Source organism: Homo sapiens, chromosome 10 (assembly GCF_000001405.40).
Source record: "Homo sapiens chromosome 10, GRCh38.p14 Primary Assembly".
In the NCBI taxonomy this organism is placed as follows: domain Eukaryota; kingdom Metazoa; phylum Chordata; class Mammalia; order Primates; family Hominidae; genus Homo; species Homo sapiens.
Window position 1 is genome coordinate 69269161 of NC_000010.11, and position 17533 is coordinate 69286693.

At 43.5% G+C, this 17533-nt stretch overlaps 1 protein-coding gene across 9 annotated transcripts in view; it reads left to right on the top strand.

Moving 5' to 3' along the window:
* The window catches only part of HK1 (hexokinase 1), a 131883-nt gene continuing 115189 nt past the window's right edge, over window positions 840-17533 (top strand). Inside the window, exons 1-3 of one of the 9 annotated variants that reach the window (XM_047425137.1) lie at window positions 840-948; window positions 1847-1936; window positions 13369-13544. The gene's annotated coding sequence lies outside the window, so the exon portion shown is untranslated. Of the gene's footprint in view, window positions 949-1846; window positions 1937-9335; window positions 9626-13368; window positions 13726-17533 lie in introns of those variants that run through there. The other 8 variants (XM_047425136.1, NM_001322365.2, XM_024447969.2 and 5 more) reach the window with 8 other exon arrangements.

The following is a 17533-nucleotide window of genomic DNA, read 5'->3' on the forward strand; positions in this document are numbered from 1 at the left end:
TGAGACAAGGTCTCATTCTGTCACTCAGGTTGGAGCATGGTGGCGCAATCACGAATCACTGCAACCTTGACCTCCCGGGCTCAAGGCATTCTCCCATCTCAGCCTCCCGAGCAGCTGGGACTGCAGGCGCATGCCACCATGCCAGCTGATTTTTAAATTTTTTGTAGAGACAGGGGTCTCACTATGTTGCCCTGACTTGTCTCAAACTCCTGGCCTCAAGTGATCCTCCCGCCTTGGCCTTCCAAAGTGCTGAGATTTATAGTCGTGAGCCACTGTGCCTGGTCCATACTTTCAATACAAATGTATGGTGATACTACTGTGAACAGGTCCTAGATTTACCAAAATTATCTTTTTGTGTGTTTGTGTATTTTAAGGTTATATCTCTTTAGAGAAATGTCGTATGAATTTATTAAATGTATCTTTTTATATTTTGAAGTTATGCCTCTTTGGAGAAAGGTTTCACCTTATCAGGTTTCATCTTAATCAGTTGAAAACCTTGCTGTCCTTATTCTCTTTCCCCAGGTCTCCCATTTCATGGTAAGTCATCCTCAGCTCCCAGTCCCTCTTTCCCCTGGTTCTGCTAGGGGTCTTTCTCTTTGCTGTCTTTCCTGGACAAATGATCTGACCCATAGATTCAGGTTGTTGTGCCACTAAGTTCTCCCATGACCTGGTCTCTCAGCACATGTTTGGCAGGTTAGGGAGGTCACCCAGTCCCTTCTCACCCAGCCGTGGTCTCTTACAAGAAAAAGGAGACACAAGGTATCTAGGCAAGCTTGCACATTCTGACTAATTGATTGCATCATAGAATCCTTGAACAAGAACCAGAACTCCAGAGAGGGAAAACATCTATCTTGCTGTGTTTGGACAGGCCAGCCCCTGAAACATCTTGGGCAATGGAGGGTTAACTTCTCAAAGTTTAATAGGCAAGACCAGCAACCATGCAACAAGGTAAATTGTCCTCACGAGAACTCCAAAGACTATTTTTCTCTCTCTTTTTTTGAGGCAGGGTCTCGCTATGTTACCCAGGCTGCTCTCGAACTCTTGGGCTCAAGCAATCCCCCCATCTTAACCTCCCCAGCAGCTGGGACTACAGCCACGCGCCACTGCACCCAGCTGACTTTTCCTTCTAAGCATCTTTGGCTGGGCGTGGTGGCTCATGCCTGTAATCCCTGCACTTTGGGAGGCCAAGGTGGGTAGATCACTGGAGGTCAGGAGTTCTAGACCAGCCTGGCCAACATGGTGAAACCTCATCTCTACTAAAAATACAAAAAAATTAGCTGGGCATGGTGGCAGGTGCCTGTAATCCTAGCTACTCGGGAGGCTGAAGCAGGAGAATTGCTTGAACCCAGGAGGTAGAGGTTGCAGTGACCCAAGATTGTGCCACTGCACTCCAGCCTGGGTACACAGCGAGTCTGTCTAAAAAAGAAAAAAAAAAAAGGAAGAGAGAGCATCTTTATCTTCATTTTCTAACCTTTAAGTGTTACTTTCTCCCAGTAACATTTTGCCCAGAAAGAGGTGATGAATATAGATTTAAGAATAAGATTTTCCCCATGTTGCTGCCTTTCCAGAACAAGTGAGTTCATTCTCATTTGTCTTTCTTCAGAAATCTTTTATCTGTCTTTCTCCCATTAGCTGGAATGGGTGCTCCATGAGAATAAAGACTTGGGTTCCATTCTTCCTATTGTCCCCAGAGCCTACATACTGGCTGGCATTGAGTAGCAATTGAACAGTTTTCTGAATGAATGAATGAATGAATGCTCAAATAAGCACATGAATTAATTATCACTTTCCTTTGAATCTCTCCATTCTTCTTCCTCACCCAATGGGGCTCGATCCTTATACACAGAAGATACTCTATAAATGATGATTCAATGAATGCCAAGCCCTGTTCTATGCACTGAAGACCAAAAGAAATAAAAGACATCATTCCTGCTCTGTAAGAATTCATAGGCTAGTAAGGAAAGAAAGATATATAAATATCTGTAATACAACATGGTAAACAGGAACAAGGTGACGACTGTTCCTGACCATTTCCTGTATCCTTTAGATCAGGAACTCTCAACCTTTGTGCACGTGTATGTGTGTGTGCATGTACCATGTACCCCTTGGACAATCAAGAATACAAGAAACCTTGTATTCTTTCTCAGAATAATGTTTTTAAATGCATAAAATACACAGGATTATAAGGGAAATTAATGGCATGAATTACATTTATTAAAATGTTAAAGTGGCACCATGGTAATACATGCATGTATTTATTAATGCATTATTCAGCAAGATCCAGCAGGAACCTAATAACAATGACAATTTTGAAGTCTTTTTTTTTTTTTTTTTGAGATGGAGTCTCGCTCTGTTGCCCAGGCTGAAGTGCAGTGGCGCAATCTCGGCTCACCACAAGCTCTGCCTCCTGGGTTCATGCCATTCTCCTGCCTCAAGCCTCCTGAGTAGCTGGGACTACAGGTGCCTCCCACCACGCCCGGCTAATTTTTTGCATTTTTATTAGAGATGGGGTTTCACCATGTTAGCCAGGATAGTCTCAATCTCCTGATCTCGTGATCCACCCTCCTTGGCCTCCCAAAATGCTGGGATTACAGGCATGAGCCACTGCACCCGGCCTGACAATTTTGAAGTCCTGATGAGTGTAAACACTACTTTGAGACATTTGCAACAACAGCATAGATATGAATATATCTGTGATTTCTCTTTTTTTTTCTTTTTTTTGAGATGGAGTTTTGCTCTGTTGCCCAGGCTGGAGTGTAGTGGCACAATCTCAGCTCACTGAAACCTCCACCCCCTGGGTTCAGTCAATTCTCCTGCCTCAGCCTCCCGAGTAGCTGGGATTACAGGCACCTGCCACCATGGCCAGCTAATTTTTGTATTTTTGGTAGAGACGGGGTTTTGCCATGTTGGCCAAGCTGGTCTCAAACTCCTGGCCTCAGGTGATCCGCCTGCCTTGGCCTCCAAAAGTGCTGGGATTATAGGCGTGAACCACTGCGCCTGACCCAATATATTTGTGATTTCCACTGGAGACAAAGTCACAGATGCTGCTAGCACTAGTGGGTTTGTTGCCCACATTCAGAATTAAAGGAAATGCTAAATTTCAGTTACAGACTATCAGAAATTAATTTGTATTTTTTTCCCACAGAAGCTTACGGATATCACCTTCTACCTGAAGGGTCTCTGATGCCCAGGTTATTAATCTCTGATCAGAATGTTCTAATGGAGCTGGCACTTATTTAGAGACAGATCTTAGATGGCAGATCTAAGCAATTTTAGCATTCCTTGTAGTACAGCACTGATGGTAGTAAATTCACGCAACTTTTGTTTGTCTGAAAATGTCTTTTTACCCTTCCTTTTTTAAGAATACACAATACACAGTTCTAGTTTGGTACTTTTTTCCTCCAGTATTTTAAGAATGTCATTTCATTTTCTTCTGGCTTCCATAATTTATTTTGGGAAGTCAGTTATAATTCTTATTACTGTTTTTCTGCAAGTTTTTTTTTTTTTCCCCTTTCTAGCTGTTTGTAAGGGTTTCTCTTTCTCTTTAGTTTCCAACAGTCATTTAACTATAATGTGCTTGGATGTGTTTTTGTTTTAGTGCATGTGTTCTTTTTTTTTCTTTTTTTAAATTTATCTTGCTTGGGCTTTGCTAAGATCTTCTTGAATCTGTGGGTTAATATCTTTCATTGTTTTTTTGAAAATTCTTGTTTTATGACTCATTATTTCTCCTCTTTCCTTCTGAAATTCCAATATGCAAACATTAGAGCATTTCATCCTGTCTTACATCTCTTTCAAGTTCTGTTCCAGTTTTTTTGCCATTTTTTTTTTCTCTGTGCTTCCGTTTGCATAATTCCTTTTCTTTCTTTTTTACCTTTTTTTTTTTTTTTTGAGATGGAGTCTCACTCTGTCAGCCAGGCTGGAGTGCAGTAGTGCAATCTCAGCTCACTGAAATTTCCGCCTCTTGGGTTCAAGCAATTCTCCTGCCTCAGCCTCCCAAGCACCTGGGTTACAGGTGCCCGCCACCATGCCCAGCTAACTTTTGTATTTTTATTTATTTATTCATTTATTTATTTGAGATGGAGTCTCACTCTGTAACACAGGCTGGAGTGCAGTGGCGTGATCTTGGCTAACTGCAGGCTCCACCTCCGGAATTCATGCCATTCTCCTGCCTCAGACTCCCAAGTAGCTGGGACTACAGGCGCCCGTCACCACACCCAGATAATTTTTTTGTATTTTTAGTAGAGATGGAGTTTCACCGTGTCAGCCAGGATGGTCTCCATCTCCTGACATCATGATCCGCCCACCTCGGCCTCCCAAAGTGCTAGGATTACAGGCATGAGCCACCGCTCCCAGCCTAACTTTTGTATTTTTAGTAGAGATGGGGTTTCACCATGTTGGCCAGGCTGGTGTCGAACTCCTGACCTCAGGTGATCCCCCTGTCTTGGCCTCCCAAAGCGCTGGGATTACAGGCATGAGCCACTGCGCCCAGCCAGTTTGCATAATCTCCAATAACTAGTCTTCAAGTTCAGTGACAGATTTTTTTTCTGCTGTGGCCAACCTGCTCTTAAGCCTAGCCAATGAATTCTTAATTTAAAACATTATATTTTTCAATTGTAGAATATCCATGTCCTTTTTTAGAGATTTAATTTCTCTATTGACATTATTTATCTTTTCGTCCATTTTTTCTAACTTTTCTTTTATTTTTCTTTAACATAATTACAAAAATCATCTTAAAGTCCTTGTCTGCTAATTCCAACATCTGGGTTACCTGTAGGACTGTTTGTGTTGTCTATTTTTTCTCTTGCTTACAGGCCACATTTTTCTACTTCTTTGCATTTTTTTTTAATATTAAGCATAAATAGCCATAGAGTCTGATGTAGATATTATTTTTCACCAGAAAGAGAACACTCTTTCTTCTCTCAGGCAGCTAAGGTGATGGACTGATCACTTTGATCCAGTCTGATATTGAGCTGGATCAGTTCACTTTTCGTTTCAAATATCAGCTGAGCATAGTGGCTCATACCTGTCATCCTAGCACTTTGGTAGGCTGAGGCAGGATGACCACTTGAGCTCAGGAGTTCAAGACCAGCCTGGGCAACATAGATCTCATCTGTATTTTTTTAATTTTTCAAATTTTAATTTAAAAAATACTTTTGCCCAGGCGCAGTGGCTCACGTTTCTAATCCCAGCACTTTGGGAGGCCAAAGCAGGTAGATCACCTGAGGTCAGGAGTTTGAGACCAGCCTGGCCAACATGGTGAAACCTTGTCTCTACCAAAAATACAAAAAGTAGCTGGGCATGGTGTCACACACATGTAATCCCAGCTAATTGGGAGGCTGAGGCAGGAGAATTGCTTGAACTCAGGAGGCAGAGGTTGCTGCGAGCCGAGATGGCACTCCAGCCTGGGTGACAGAGCAAAACTCTGTCTCAAAAAAAAAAAAAACAGTTTCAAATATCTTAGAGTCATGCCTGTCTTGTGTTTATTACAGGCCCTTTTTTCAAGCAGCCTTCTCTTTCTCAAATACAACAATATTATAGGGTATCTTTCTCTGAATTTCAATCTAGCCTTCTTTACTGCCCAGAACTTAGCAAAAATCCTATGGGGAGAACTGGCAGGTGGGGAAAACCAGCTATGCATTTGAAGCTTCTCCAGATTCTACTCTGTCTAGCCAGCTCACATGACCATAAAAGCTGGCTGCTTTCTCATTCTCTCTGAGTAGTCTTGCCTCTATTCTGGCAAGTCTAATCTCCCCCAACCCATGCCGAGACTCAACAAATGCCCTCATAGAGGAAAGCAGTCATGAATCTCCACTCACTTTGGGAGGGTCCCTTCTGCTCTGGAATTTAATTCCATTAGATTTCCAGCCTTCCAGTATCTCTAAAAAGAAATATATATGATTTTTAGTTTATCCATATATATTTTTTCTAATTGCTATAGTGGACACAATGGTCTACTGCTCCCCTCTTACATCCTATATCCTAACCACCAATTCTAAATATTTTAAATTCCCATTACAATGTCTTATTTTATTCATGAGTTATTAAAAAAAAAAAACCAAAAAACAAAAAACCTTTTAAGGCCGGGCACGGTGGCTCACGCCTGTAATCTCAGTACTTTGGGAGGCCAAGGTGGGAGGATAGCTTGAGGCCAGGAATTTGAGACCAGCCTGAGCAACATGGCGAGACCCCATCTCTACTAGATTAAAAAATACATAAAAAATAAAATTTAAAAAAAAAACAACTTAAATTTGTACATTTGTAATTTCCAAGTATATTGTTTTAAATTTGATCATTTTGTTAATTTTAACTTAATTATATGTTGATTTATGGCCTATATCAGGGATTGACTAATTACTTCTGTAAAGGGCCAGGCAGTCACAATTGTAGGCTCTGTGGGCCATATGATCTGTGCTGTTGTAACAAAAAAGGAGCCATAGACAACATGTAAATGAACGGGTATGGCTTGGTTCTAATAAAACTTTATTTACAAAAATAAGTGACAGGTTGGATTTGTCCTGCAATTCAGTTTGTCAATCCCTGGTCTAAATTATCTTAATTATTTACAAATTTATTAAGACTTGCTTTATAAATATGTTTGCTTTGAAATTTGAGTGCTTTTCATGTGCACTTAAAATATATTCTGTATTAGCTGGGCACAGTGGCTCATGCCTGTAATCCCAGCACTTTGGGAGGCCGAGGCAGGTGGATCGCCTGAGGTCAGGAGTTGAGACCAGCCTGGCCAACATAGTGAAATCCTGTCTCTACTAAAAATACAAAAAATTAGCTGGGCGTGGTGCCAGGTGCCTGCAATCCCAGCTACTCAGGAGGTTGAGGAAGGAGAATCGCTTGAATCCAGGAGGCAGAGGTTGCAGTGAGCCAAGATTGTGTCATTGCACTCCAGCCTGGGCAGCAAGAGCAAAACTCCTTTTCAAAAAAAAAAAAAAAAAAAAAAAAAAAAATACATATATATATATATATACACATATATATATTCTATATTAAATAAGTAATTCTATATATTTATTAGATTAAACTTGTTTTGTTGTTCAAATCTTTTATAACTTTGTTGATTTTGTTTGTTTGCTTGCTTGATCTAATGGCAGAGAAAAATACATTTAAATTTATTCTTGTAATGTGGATTTGTCAGAGTATTTCTGTAGGTCTAACAATTCTTGCTTTAATATTTAGAGGTTAATTTATTAGAATATTAACATCTGGCCAGGCACAGTGGTTCATGCCTGTAATCCCAGCACTTTGGGAGGCCGAGGCGGGTGGATCACCTGAGGTTGTGAGTTTGAGACCAGCCTGGTTAACGTGGTGAAATCCTGTCTCTACTAAAAATACAAAAATTAGCCGGGTGTGGTAGTGCACTCCTGTAATCCCAGCTACTCGGGAGGCTGAGCCATGAGAATTGCTCCAACCCGGGAGGCGGAGGTTGCAGTGAGCTGAGATCGTGCCACTGCCCTCCAGCCTGGGTGACATAGTAAGACTCTGTCTTAAAAAAAAATTAATATCTTAATTTTAAGATATTAATTTTAAATGATTAAAATTATTTAATTATTAATTAACATAATAATTAAACATCAAATCATTCAATCATTTAATTAATAATAATTATAACTATAACTATTATCTTTATATATAATTACATATAATAGGATATTTTATATATCTATATATATCCTACATATATGTAGGATGGAAGCGAAGGATTGATAAATGTATCTTCTCCCAAAGAAGACAAGTATTTCAGCATGCTTTTATGTATTTTAGTCTCTCTTACCCCTATAGCCCATCATACTGAAATGGTCTAGAATTTTAGTTATGTGCTATTATTCATAAACTTTCACTTATTTGGCTTCCTCTAAGTGTTTTGACGGAGAGATATTATGTGGCAAGCTGAGGGTTTAAATCACTGAGAATATTTTTATTATGCCATCATATTTGAATGCTAATTTCGCTGGATATAAAATTCTAGATTCAAAGATCCCTTTCTTCTGTTCTTTAAATCTATTACCTTATTCTTTTCTTGCATCATTGGTTGCAAGTCTAATGCCAATCTGGTTCTTGTTTCTTTTTGAGTAATCTGTTTTGTGTCTCTGAAAGCATTTAAAATTTTCTTTTTGGCTGGGTGAAGTGGCTCATGCCTATAATCCTGGCACTTTGGGAGGCTGAGGCACGAGGATTGCTTAAGGCCAGGAGCTCGAGACCAGCCTGGGCAAAATGTTGAAACCCCGCCTCTATTAAAAATACAAAAATTAGCCAGGCATGGTGGTGCCCACCTGTTGTCCCAGCTACTCAGAGGCTGAGGCAGGAGGATCACCTGAGCCTTGGGAGGTCGAGGCTGCAGTGAGCCATGATCATGCCACTGCACTCCAGCCCGGGCGACAGAGTAAGACCCTGTGTCTAAATAAATAAAGAAATAAATAGGATTCTACTTTAGAAATTTTATCTAGCTTTTTTCATTTATTATTATATATTACAAAAAGGCTTTCCCACTCTCCATCTTTTGTATTTTTGTAGCTCCTTATAAGCCTAAATAAAATACTATTTACCACACAACTGAGTGCTGATAAAAGTGGTTTGTTTTAGGCCAGGCACAGGGCTCACGCCTGTAATCCCAGCACTTTGGGAGGCCGACACAGGCAGATCACCTGAGGTCAGGAGTTCGAGACCAGCCTGGCCAACATGACGAAACCCTGTCTCTACTAAAAATACAAAACTTAGCTGGGCGTGGTGGCAGGCGCCTGTAATCCCAGCTACTCAGGAGGCTGAGGAAGGAGAATTGCTTGAACCTGGGAGGCGAAGGTTGCAGTGAGCCGAGATTGTGCCATTGCACTCCAGCTTGGGCAACAACAGCGAGACTCCGTCTCAAAAAAAAAAAAGGTTTGTTTTATAGTGAACTGTGGAGGGATAAGGGACAAAGCTGGGCACAAAAATAGATCTGATGGTAGGGTTAGGACTGAGGGGGCAGAGGAAATGAGACTGACATTTCCTAGGGAAACTGACAGGTTAGCCAATGTTCCTATTCCAATCCATCTTCTTGGAAACTGCCTGCCATTTCCTCTGACATCTGAAGCACTTGCTGTAAAGCACTCACTGCTTACACTATGGCTGCCTGGCTGGCTTTCCTTGAGAATATGTATATTTAATCTGTATTTTGTCTATGAAGCTTTTTGAGGGCTCTGTAGTTCTACTCCACACATTGCCCACTCACCCATCCCATTTTCCTCCGGTAGCTGCTACATGGAAAGTACTATGGATCAAATTGGAAATCCATCTCTCCTCTCAAAGGCAGCTAAAGCTATGTGGTCAGGCTCTGGGCCCCAGATTCCAGTCCTGATTTCTGAGTCTGCTTTCCAGGTCAGGGAATGCACTGGGGCTGACGACAAGGCTGGAACGTCCCGGGATTGAAGCTTGGATCCGAACTGTTGGACGGCGTCTGGAGTTTTGCACAAAAGAGAATTGAATTGTAGATCAGCTGGGAAGTTACTGTGGTAGTCCTGGTGCCCTGCGGCCTCCAGCGACTGGAACCCTGTGGGAGCACATAGCTGGCATTTTTTGCTAGAGATTAGGAAGTCTTTTGCTTCCTCTGTGAAAAGGCTTGAATTCAATGGACTGTGTGGTAAGATGAAGTTGTTTTTTTTTTCCCTTATTGATAAAAATAAAACAGAGATTTGGCTTGGGTTATTACGCAGTGGTGGGCACATGAGCTTGCTCTCCAGTGTTTGGCGGGAAGCCAGTTGAAGAGCATGTGGTTACATTTTTGTCCGGCATCATCAAGAGTGTAGAGAAGCTGTGATTCTAGCCTCAGAGGAGCGAGTTTTTATTGTGGGGTGACTCTTCAAAGACCATCTTTATGCAAGAAATGTCAGAGGCCCATTTCATAGTAAGTTTCTTTGGAAGTTTTGTTTTCGTCGATGCTATATTATCACTCATGGGCTGATGTCGTCTCCTTATGATGGTGTCCCTAAGAGCCTTCACAGGCCTAGGGAGCACTGGTTGGTGGTGGGAGGCCCAGGCTGAGAGGCAGGTCTCTGTGTTGTATTTCTTCCTGGGCTTTAGTCTGTCTCTTTCTAAAATGGGCTAATCCTCTCTCTGCCCTCTTCCTCATGTGGTGAAGGGCGTTGGGACAACATGCAAATATGGTTCAAAGGAGAAGTGAAGCTGCTCTTTTGTACTCTGTCACATTTGCTTGCTCTGAATTGGGTCTTTTGTTAGCACATTCTTTGAAGTAGAACTTGTCCATGGTTGACTTTGGTGTCTTGATTTGGAGAAGAAATTGAGTAGTGCCCAACTGCAGGTAGACTGAGAGGCTGAACTGGGTTTGCATGGGGTTTGCAGGATGTGCAGAATGGTTAAATGAATGTATGAATGAACATATGTAGATCGAATGTTTGATGGGGAACCTCAGAATGACCCAAGAAACATGTTTCTCCAGAAACTAAGTAGATCTTGGGCTGTGAAGTATTTAGTACCCATAACAAGCAATGATAGTTTAAATATGTAGTCCAAAAATTTCTTCCTCATCAGTCAAGTCATAAATGCAGGACTTAAAGGAAACCACATGTGAGAGGTGTCTGTGACCTAGGATATTGGAGGCCTGGGTCACAGTTAGGAATCAGGACCTCGCAAAATTTACTTAACATTCTCCAGAATGTGGCCCAATCTACAAAGCCACCCTCATGTCAGCTGCTCAGCTGGAGAGCACATGTGCTTGAAGTTTCTTTCACCTTCACTCTTGCTTTAATAAAAGCATGTATAAGTCCAGGAGCTTATTTTATACTTTGGTTGATCAGCGATTGTGTCTTCACTAAGAACCACCCATATTGTCATCCTTGGGCAGACACGAGGAAGGATGAAAGGATTGACCTGCGAGAATCTAGAGAACTAAGGCCAAGGGAAGCAGGTCAGATGGAGGTAGATTGCATCTCAGATTTAACTGGCCAATGATGAAAAAAGGTTTTGTTTTTTTTTTTTAGACAGAGTCTCGCACTGTCACCCAGGCTGGAGAGATCTCGGCTCACTGTAAGCTCCGCCTCCTGGGCTCACGCCATTCTCCTGCCTCAGCCTCCCAAGTAGCTGGGACTACAGGTGCCTGCTACCATGCCCAGCTAATTTTTTTGTTTTGTATTTTTAGTAGAGACAGGGTTTCACTGTGTTAGCCAGGATGGTCTCGACCTCCTGACTTTGTGATTTGCCCACCTCGGCCTCCCAAAGTGCTGGGATTACAGGCGTGAGCCACCACGCCCAGCCCGGAAAAGGTTTTTTAAAGAGTGAGGTAGCACCTACCTGGATCTTGTCTTGGGTGGGTGCTATGGTCTGCATGTTTATGGCCCCCCAAATTCATAATTGAAACCTAATCTCCGATATGATAATATTAGAAGGTGGGGTCTTTGGAGGTTATTAAGTCATGAGGGTGGAGCCCTCACGAATGTGATTCATCCCCTTATAAAGGAGACTCTAGAGAGCTTGTCTGCCCCTTCTACCAGTGAGGACGGAGTAAGAAGGCTGTCTTTGAGAAATGAGCCCTCACCAGGCAGGCACCAAATCTGCTGGTGACTTAATCTTGGATTTGCCAGCCTCCAGAACTGTGAAACATACATTTCCATCATTTGTAAGTTACCTAGCCAATGGTAATTTGTTGTAGCAGCCTGAACGGACCAAGACAGTGAGGGTGGGAGTGGAATATGATGTGCTAGGTTCTTTCCAGTTTTCAAATAATATGCTTTTACCTTCTGGAGTTTCATCCCCTGTGCCACTAATCTCTGAATTGCTAAAATCTTTGCATTTTTGTCTCCTACTCTCCACTTTATCAAACAACCTGTCCTATGTCTCTGTATAGCTGCAGACTCTTATCAGACCTCTCAAAATATCGTTTATGACTTCCTCTTCCATGTGGAGGACATGAGAGAGTGAGAGAGAACTGGGATCTTCTGTACTTTTAATGAGTGAATCCACATGATTGTAGGCATCTAAAATAGGGCTCTCAAACTTTAGCAGGTCACAGAATCACCAGGAGGGCTTGTTAAAACACAGATTCATGGTTCCACCCCAATGTTTTCCATTCAGTAGGTCTGTGGAAGGGCCCAAGAATGTGCATTTCTAACAAGTTCCCACCTAATGCTGTTGTTACTGGTGCAGGGACCACACTTTGAGAACCACCACCCTAGAGGACGGGGACCAAGCCAGCCCACTCTCAGTAAAATCCCAAATGCAGAGGGGGCAGATTAATAAGTACCAGGGTGTGCTGTCCTCTTCCTCCTCTTTCTCTTCCTCATCCTCCTCCTTTATCGAGGCTTACCTGATCCCTGCCTCAGGGGCCTCCAAAGAAAACTCTGACTTAGACCAATGTGTCCCAGATTCAATGTCACTTTCTATAGGAAGCCGTTCATGAACCCCAGGATTAGATGTTGTGGCTTCCTATACTTTTTCTTGATAGCTATCATGATTCACAATTTGCAACTGTGATTTGTGTGATTTCTTAATCTCTGTTTCCTCCAGAGAATGTAAGCTCCATGAAGACAGGATATACGAATAGTAGGAAAAAAGGAAGGGTTTGGGTGGGGAATGGTGGTGAGTCACCCTTAGGATTGTGCACAATAAAAGAGAGTGAAACAACAGATTTTGTCCCCAAAGAATAAAGGAAGGGGAGGGAGGAGGAAGGAAAAAGGTGGCCTGGAATATCCATTAGAACGTTGGCTGCCAAGTCTAGCCCAGCTCTCTCTGGTGCCAACCAGAGGTTTGCCTGCTCTATTTTGGCCACAGAGTGGGCATTTCATCTCTCCACGCATTTTAAAATCCTAGTTGTTTCTTTTTTTAGCTCTGAGCTACTTACCCGCTCTAAGCCTCAGCTACAGCACCCATAAAACAAAGAATTAAGGCTCCAGGGCTGAAGAGACCTAAGTACAACACCCAGCTCTGCTACTGTTGCATTTCCATGAGTGCCTGAATTAACTCCTGTAAGCGTCGGCTTCCCTCCTGAAAAGGGTTTCTACTCCTAATCTTGTTGGGACACTTCCAGGAATCAGGGCACATGAAGTCCTTAGCACAATCCCTGGCTCAATGCACATGAGTGGCCATTGTCATCACCATCTTCAATATCACCGTCCTCCTCACCATTGTCACCATTTCTGTCCCCACACCCAAGGTTTCTGAGGTCTCAATGGGATAAAATAACTTCATAACCATGAAGCACTGTCTGAATGTCAAGGGCATCCAAGTGCCCCATCCCCTGCCCACAAGTCCTGGAGTAACATCCAAGGATGCCTTCCTTCCCCAGGACGCTGGCGCAGGCTCAACCCCTTGCAAGCCTTTGGTGACTCTTGATTTTACGACAAATACATCTTTTGTCTCTTCTGTTTTCAGGACTTCAACTAACCAACTAAAGAACTGTTCCCCAGAGCATTGTTCCTGAGAAGGAAAAGAGTCCAAACACCTACCCACACCTGCTTTGTGCCAAGAATCCACAGTTGGATTGCAAGGACAGTGTATGTTGTCCTTTTGGAAAAATGAGAGTGAGCCCAAATGAAGAACAAGCAAAGGTGTCTCAAGTCATCCCAAGGCAACTAGGGGGTTGCCTGGGCTGTGACGGCCTCACTTCTGCATGAGACTCTCTCTCTGGCTTTTCGCATTAAGTAGCTTCCTGTCCTTCTCTGTAAAACAAAATGAATGAGCTGGGTGCGGTGGCTCATGCCTATAATCCCAGAACTTTGGGAGGCCGAGGTGGGTGGATCACCTGAGGTCAGGAGTTTGAGACCAGCCTGGCCAACATGGTGAAACCCCTTCTCTACTAAAAATACAAAAAAAAAAAAAATTAGCTGGGTATGGTGGCAGGCGCCTGTAATCCCAGCTACTTCGGAGGCTGAGGCAGGAGAATCGCTTGAACCCAGGAGGCAGTTTGTGGTGAGCCAAGATTGCGCCACTGCACTCCAGCCTGGGTGACAAGAGCGAAACTCAGTTTCAAAAAAAAAAAAAAAAAAAAAATGAATGAAGGTATAATCTGGCAGGGTGCGGTGGCTCACACATGTAATCCCAGCACTTTGAGAGGCCAAGGCGGGAGGATCACTTGAGACCAGGAGTTCGAGACCAGCCTGGGCAAAATAGAGAGATCCCATCTCTACCAAAATTAAAAAAAAAAAAAATTAGCCTGACGTGGTGGTGCATGCCTGTGGTCCCAGCTACTCTGGAGGCTGAGGTGGAAGGATCACTTGGGCGCAGGAGGTCAAGGCTGTAGTGAGCCCATGATCGCACCACTGCACTCCAGCCTGGGTGACTGAGTGAGACCCTGTCTCAATAATAATAATAATAATATAAATAAAAATAAAAATAAAGAGCTGGCTGGGCGTGGTGGTTCATGCCTGTAATCCTAGCACTTTGGAAGGCCAAGGTGGGCAGATTACTTGAGGTCAGGAGTTCGAGACCAGCCTGGCCAACATGGTGAAACCCCATCTCTACTAAAAATACAAAAATTAGCCAGGCATGGTGGCAGGCAACTGTAGTCCCAGCTACTCAGGAGACTGAGGGACGAGAATCGCTTGAACACAGGAGGCGGAGGCTGCAACAAGAGGTTGCAATGAGCCAAGTTCGCACCACCGCACTGCATTCCAGCCTGGGTGACAGAGTGAGACTCTGTCTCAAAAAAAAAAAAAAAAAAAGAAAAGAAAAAAAGAAAAAGAAAATAAAGAGCTATCCAAGTCTCAGGATCTTAAAAGGTAGATCCTGGGGTTTAAGCCCACTTATTTTACAGATGAGGCCCAGAGAGAGGCAAACACTTTCCCAAGGATACACAGTAATTTGTAACTGGGCCAAAGCTCACTATAGTTAAGTCTTTTTGTTTGAGGTGACTGAGATAATGCCATCTATGATTTTTTCTTTTAAGGCAAATGCTGTGCTGATATTCCTCACAGTTTGAGACTTGTAAAATGCCTCTCTTCCCTGAGTACCCATCTGTCCTCTACTACCCTCAGGGTTTGGGACTGATGCTCTGCAGTTGAGGGACAGTGTGCAAGATTGGTTAAGAATGGAGGAGCCTGATTTCAAATCTCAGCTTGGTTAGCTTACAGCCATATGACCTTGGGAAGCTACTTGACTGCTGTGAGCCTCAGTTTCCTCATGTGTAAAACTGGGAAAATAGAACTTATGAGGAGTTCTTGTGAACTAATGCCTGTGAGGTATTATATTTATAGCAGTGCCTCGCAGACAGGAAGTATTCAATAAATGCTAATTTATTGAATTTAATGACCTCCAAGAGAGTTGCTTAAGGGCAAAGTGGAAGTCAATTGAATAGTGGGTACATCCTCTCTGAAAGCAAGGCTAAAACTATGTAAAAAAAAGCATCACTGGAAAGGAAGAAGGAATCCAGCTGCTTAAGCCAAGTGGAGTGGCTCACTCGTGTAATCCCAGCACTTCGGGAAGCTGAGAGAGGAGGATCACTGGAGCCCAGCAGTTTGAGACCAGCCTGGGCAGCATAGTGAGATCCTATTTCCCTTTTTCTGAGACAGAATCTTGCCCTGTCGCCCAGGCTGGAGTGCAGTGGCACAACCTCGGCTTACTGCAACCTCCGCCTCCAGGGTTCAAGTGATTCTCCTGCCTCAGCCTCCAGAGTAGCTGGGATTACAGGCACTCACCACCACGCTCAGTAATTTTTTTAGTTTTTCTTTTTTCTTTTTTTTAAGACGGAGTCTCTCTTTGTCACCCAGGCTGGAGTGCAGTGACATGATCTTGGCTCACTGCAAGCTCTGCCTCCTGGGTTCACGCCATTCTCCTGCCTCAGCCTCCTGAATAGCTGGGACTACAGGTGCCAGCCACCACGCCCGGCTAATTTTTTTGTATTTTTAGTAGAGACAGGGTTTCACCATGTTGGCCATGATGGTCTCGAACTCCTGACCTCAGGTGTTCTGCCCACCTTGGCCTCCCCAAATGCTGGGATTACAGGCATGTGCCACCGCACCCAGCCGTGAGATCCTATTCCTTAAAAAAACAAACAAACAGGCCGGGCGCGGTGGCTCACGCCTGTAATCCCAACACTTTGGGAGGCCGAGGTGGGTGGATCGCAAGGTCAGGAGATCGAGACCATCCTGGCTAACATGGTCTCTACTGAAAATACAAAAAATTAGCCGGGCGAGGTGGCGGGCGCCTGTAGTCCCAGCTACTCAGGAGGCTGAGGCAGGAGAATGGCGTGCACTCGGGAGGCGGAGCTTGCAGTAAGCCGAGATTGCGCCACTGCACTCCAGCCTGGGCGACAGAGAGAGATTCCATCTCAAAACAACAACAAAAAACAAACAAACAAACAAAAAACAGAAAGGAATCCAGCTATTAGCAAAATTCAAATGAATTGTGGATTTTTCTGTTATTAAAATGTAGAGATATCAGGATCCCTAAACTCAAGTAAATGACACAATAAACAAAGCATCAAATTTGAAGCTGTGTTATGATGGTGCCTGTGCCAGATTTGGGGGAAGGGCAATACTTGGCTTACACAGATGCTCTAGATCTTGAAGAGGGAGAGAGGGGCACAGTTCTGCGGCGACATGTGCGAGTACCAGAGAGAGGGCCAGTTACTTCGGGGTGGAGAGTATATGGAGAATGGAATGACTAGCTATAAACCAGCTTGCATGGTGGGCTGGTGGAAACACCAGTTTCTACATGACCTCTAGACCAAACACTCTCTAGACAAAAAGCAACTCTGCTTTGAATGACCTTCAAAGCGAATGCCCTGGGCCAGTCCCAAGGGTTCCTTCCCCTCCTCCTACTCCGTCTCCTGGGTAACAACATTGTAAGACTGGGAAGAAAGGAGGTGATAGCATAATCTTCTCTGTCATGTTACAGACCCAGGGAGCTTTTAAGAAATAAATACCAATGGGAAAGAGGTAACATGCATTCTCTGCAAGTACTTTGGTAACTCATAGCAGTGTTTTAACTAGACTCGGGAAGTTGCCTGGGGATCAGAAAGGAAGGCAAAAATGTGTGTGGAATTTGTCAAAATTTGTTAAGCCCATATAGCATAATAAGGAGAACATCTATCTACAAAAACAAAGTTAAATCATAAATTATAGCTGAGTACAGTGGCTGACACCTGTAATCCCAGCACTTTGGGAGGCTGAGGGAGGAGAATCGCTTGAGCCCAGGGGTTTAAGACCAGCCTGGGCAACATAGTGAGATCCCGTCTCTACAAAAAATTAAAAAATTAGCCAGCTGTGGTAGTTTGAGCCTGTAGTCCCAGCTGCAGAGGCTGAGGTGGGAGGATCACTTGAGCTCTGAAGGTGGAGGCTGCAGTTAGTGTGATTGCACTACTGCACTCCAGCCCAGGTGACAGAGCAGGACGCTGTCTCAAAAACAAGCAAACAAATAATTGCAAGGCATATATTTTATTTTTAGATCACGCTTTACTTTTTTTTTTTTTTGAGATGGAGTTTCGCTCTCGTTGTCCTGGCTGGAGTGCAATGGTGCAATCTCGGCTCACTGCAACCTCCGCCTCCCAGGTTCAAGGGATTCTCCTGGCTCAGCCTCCCAAGTAGCTGGGATTACAGGC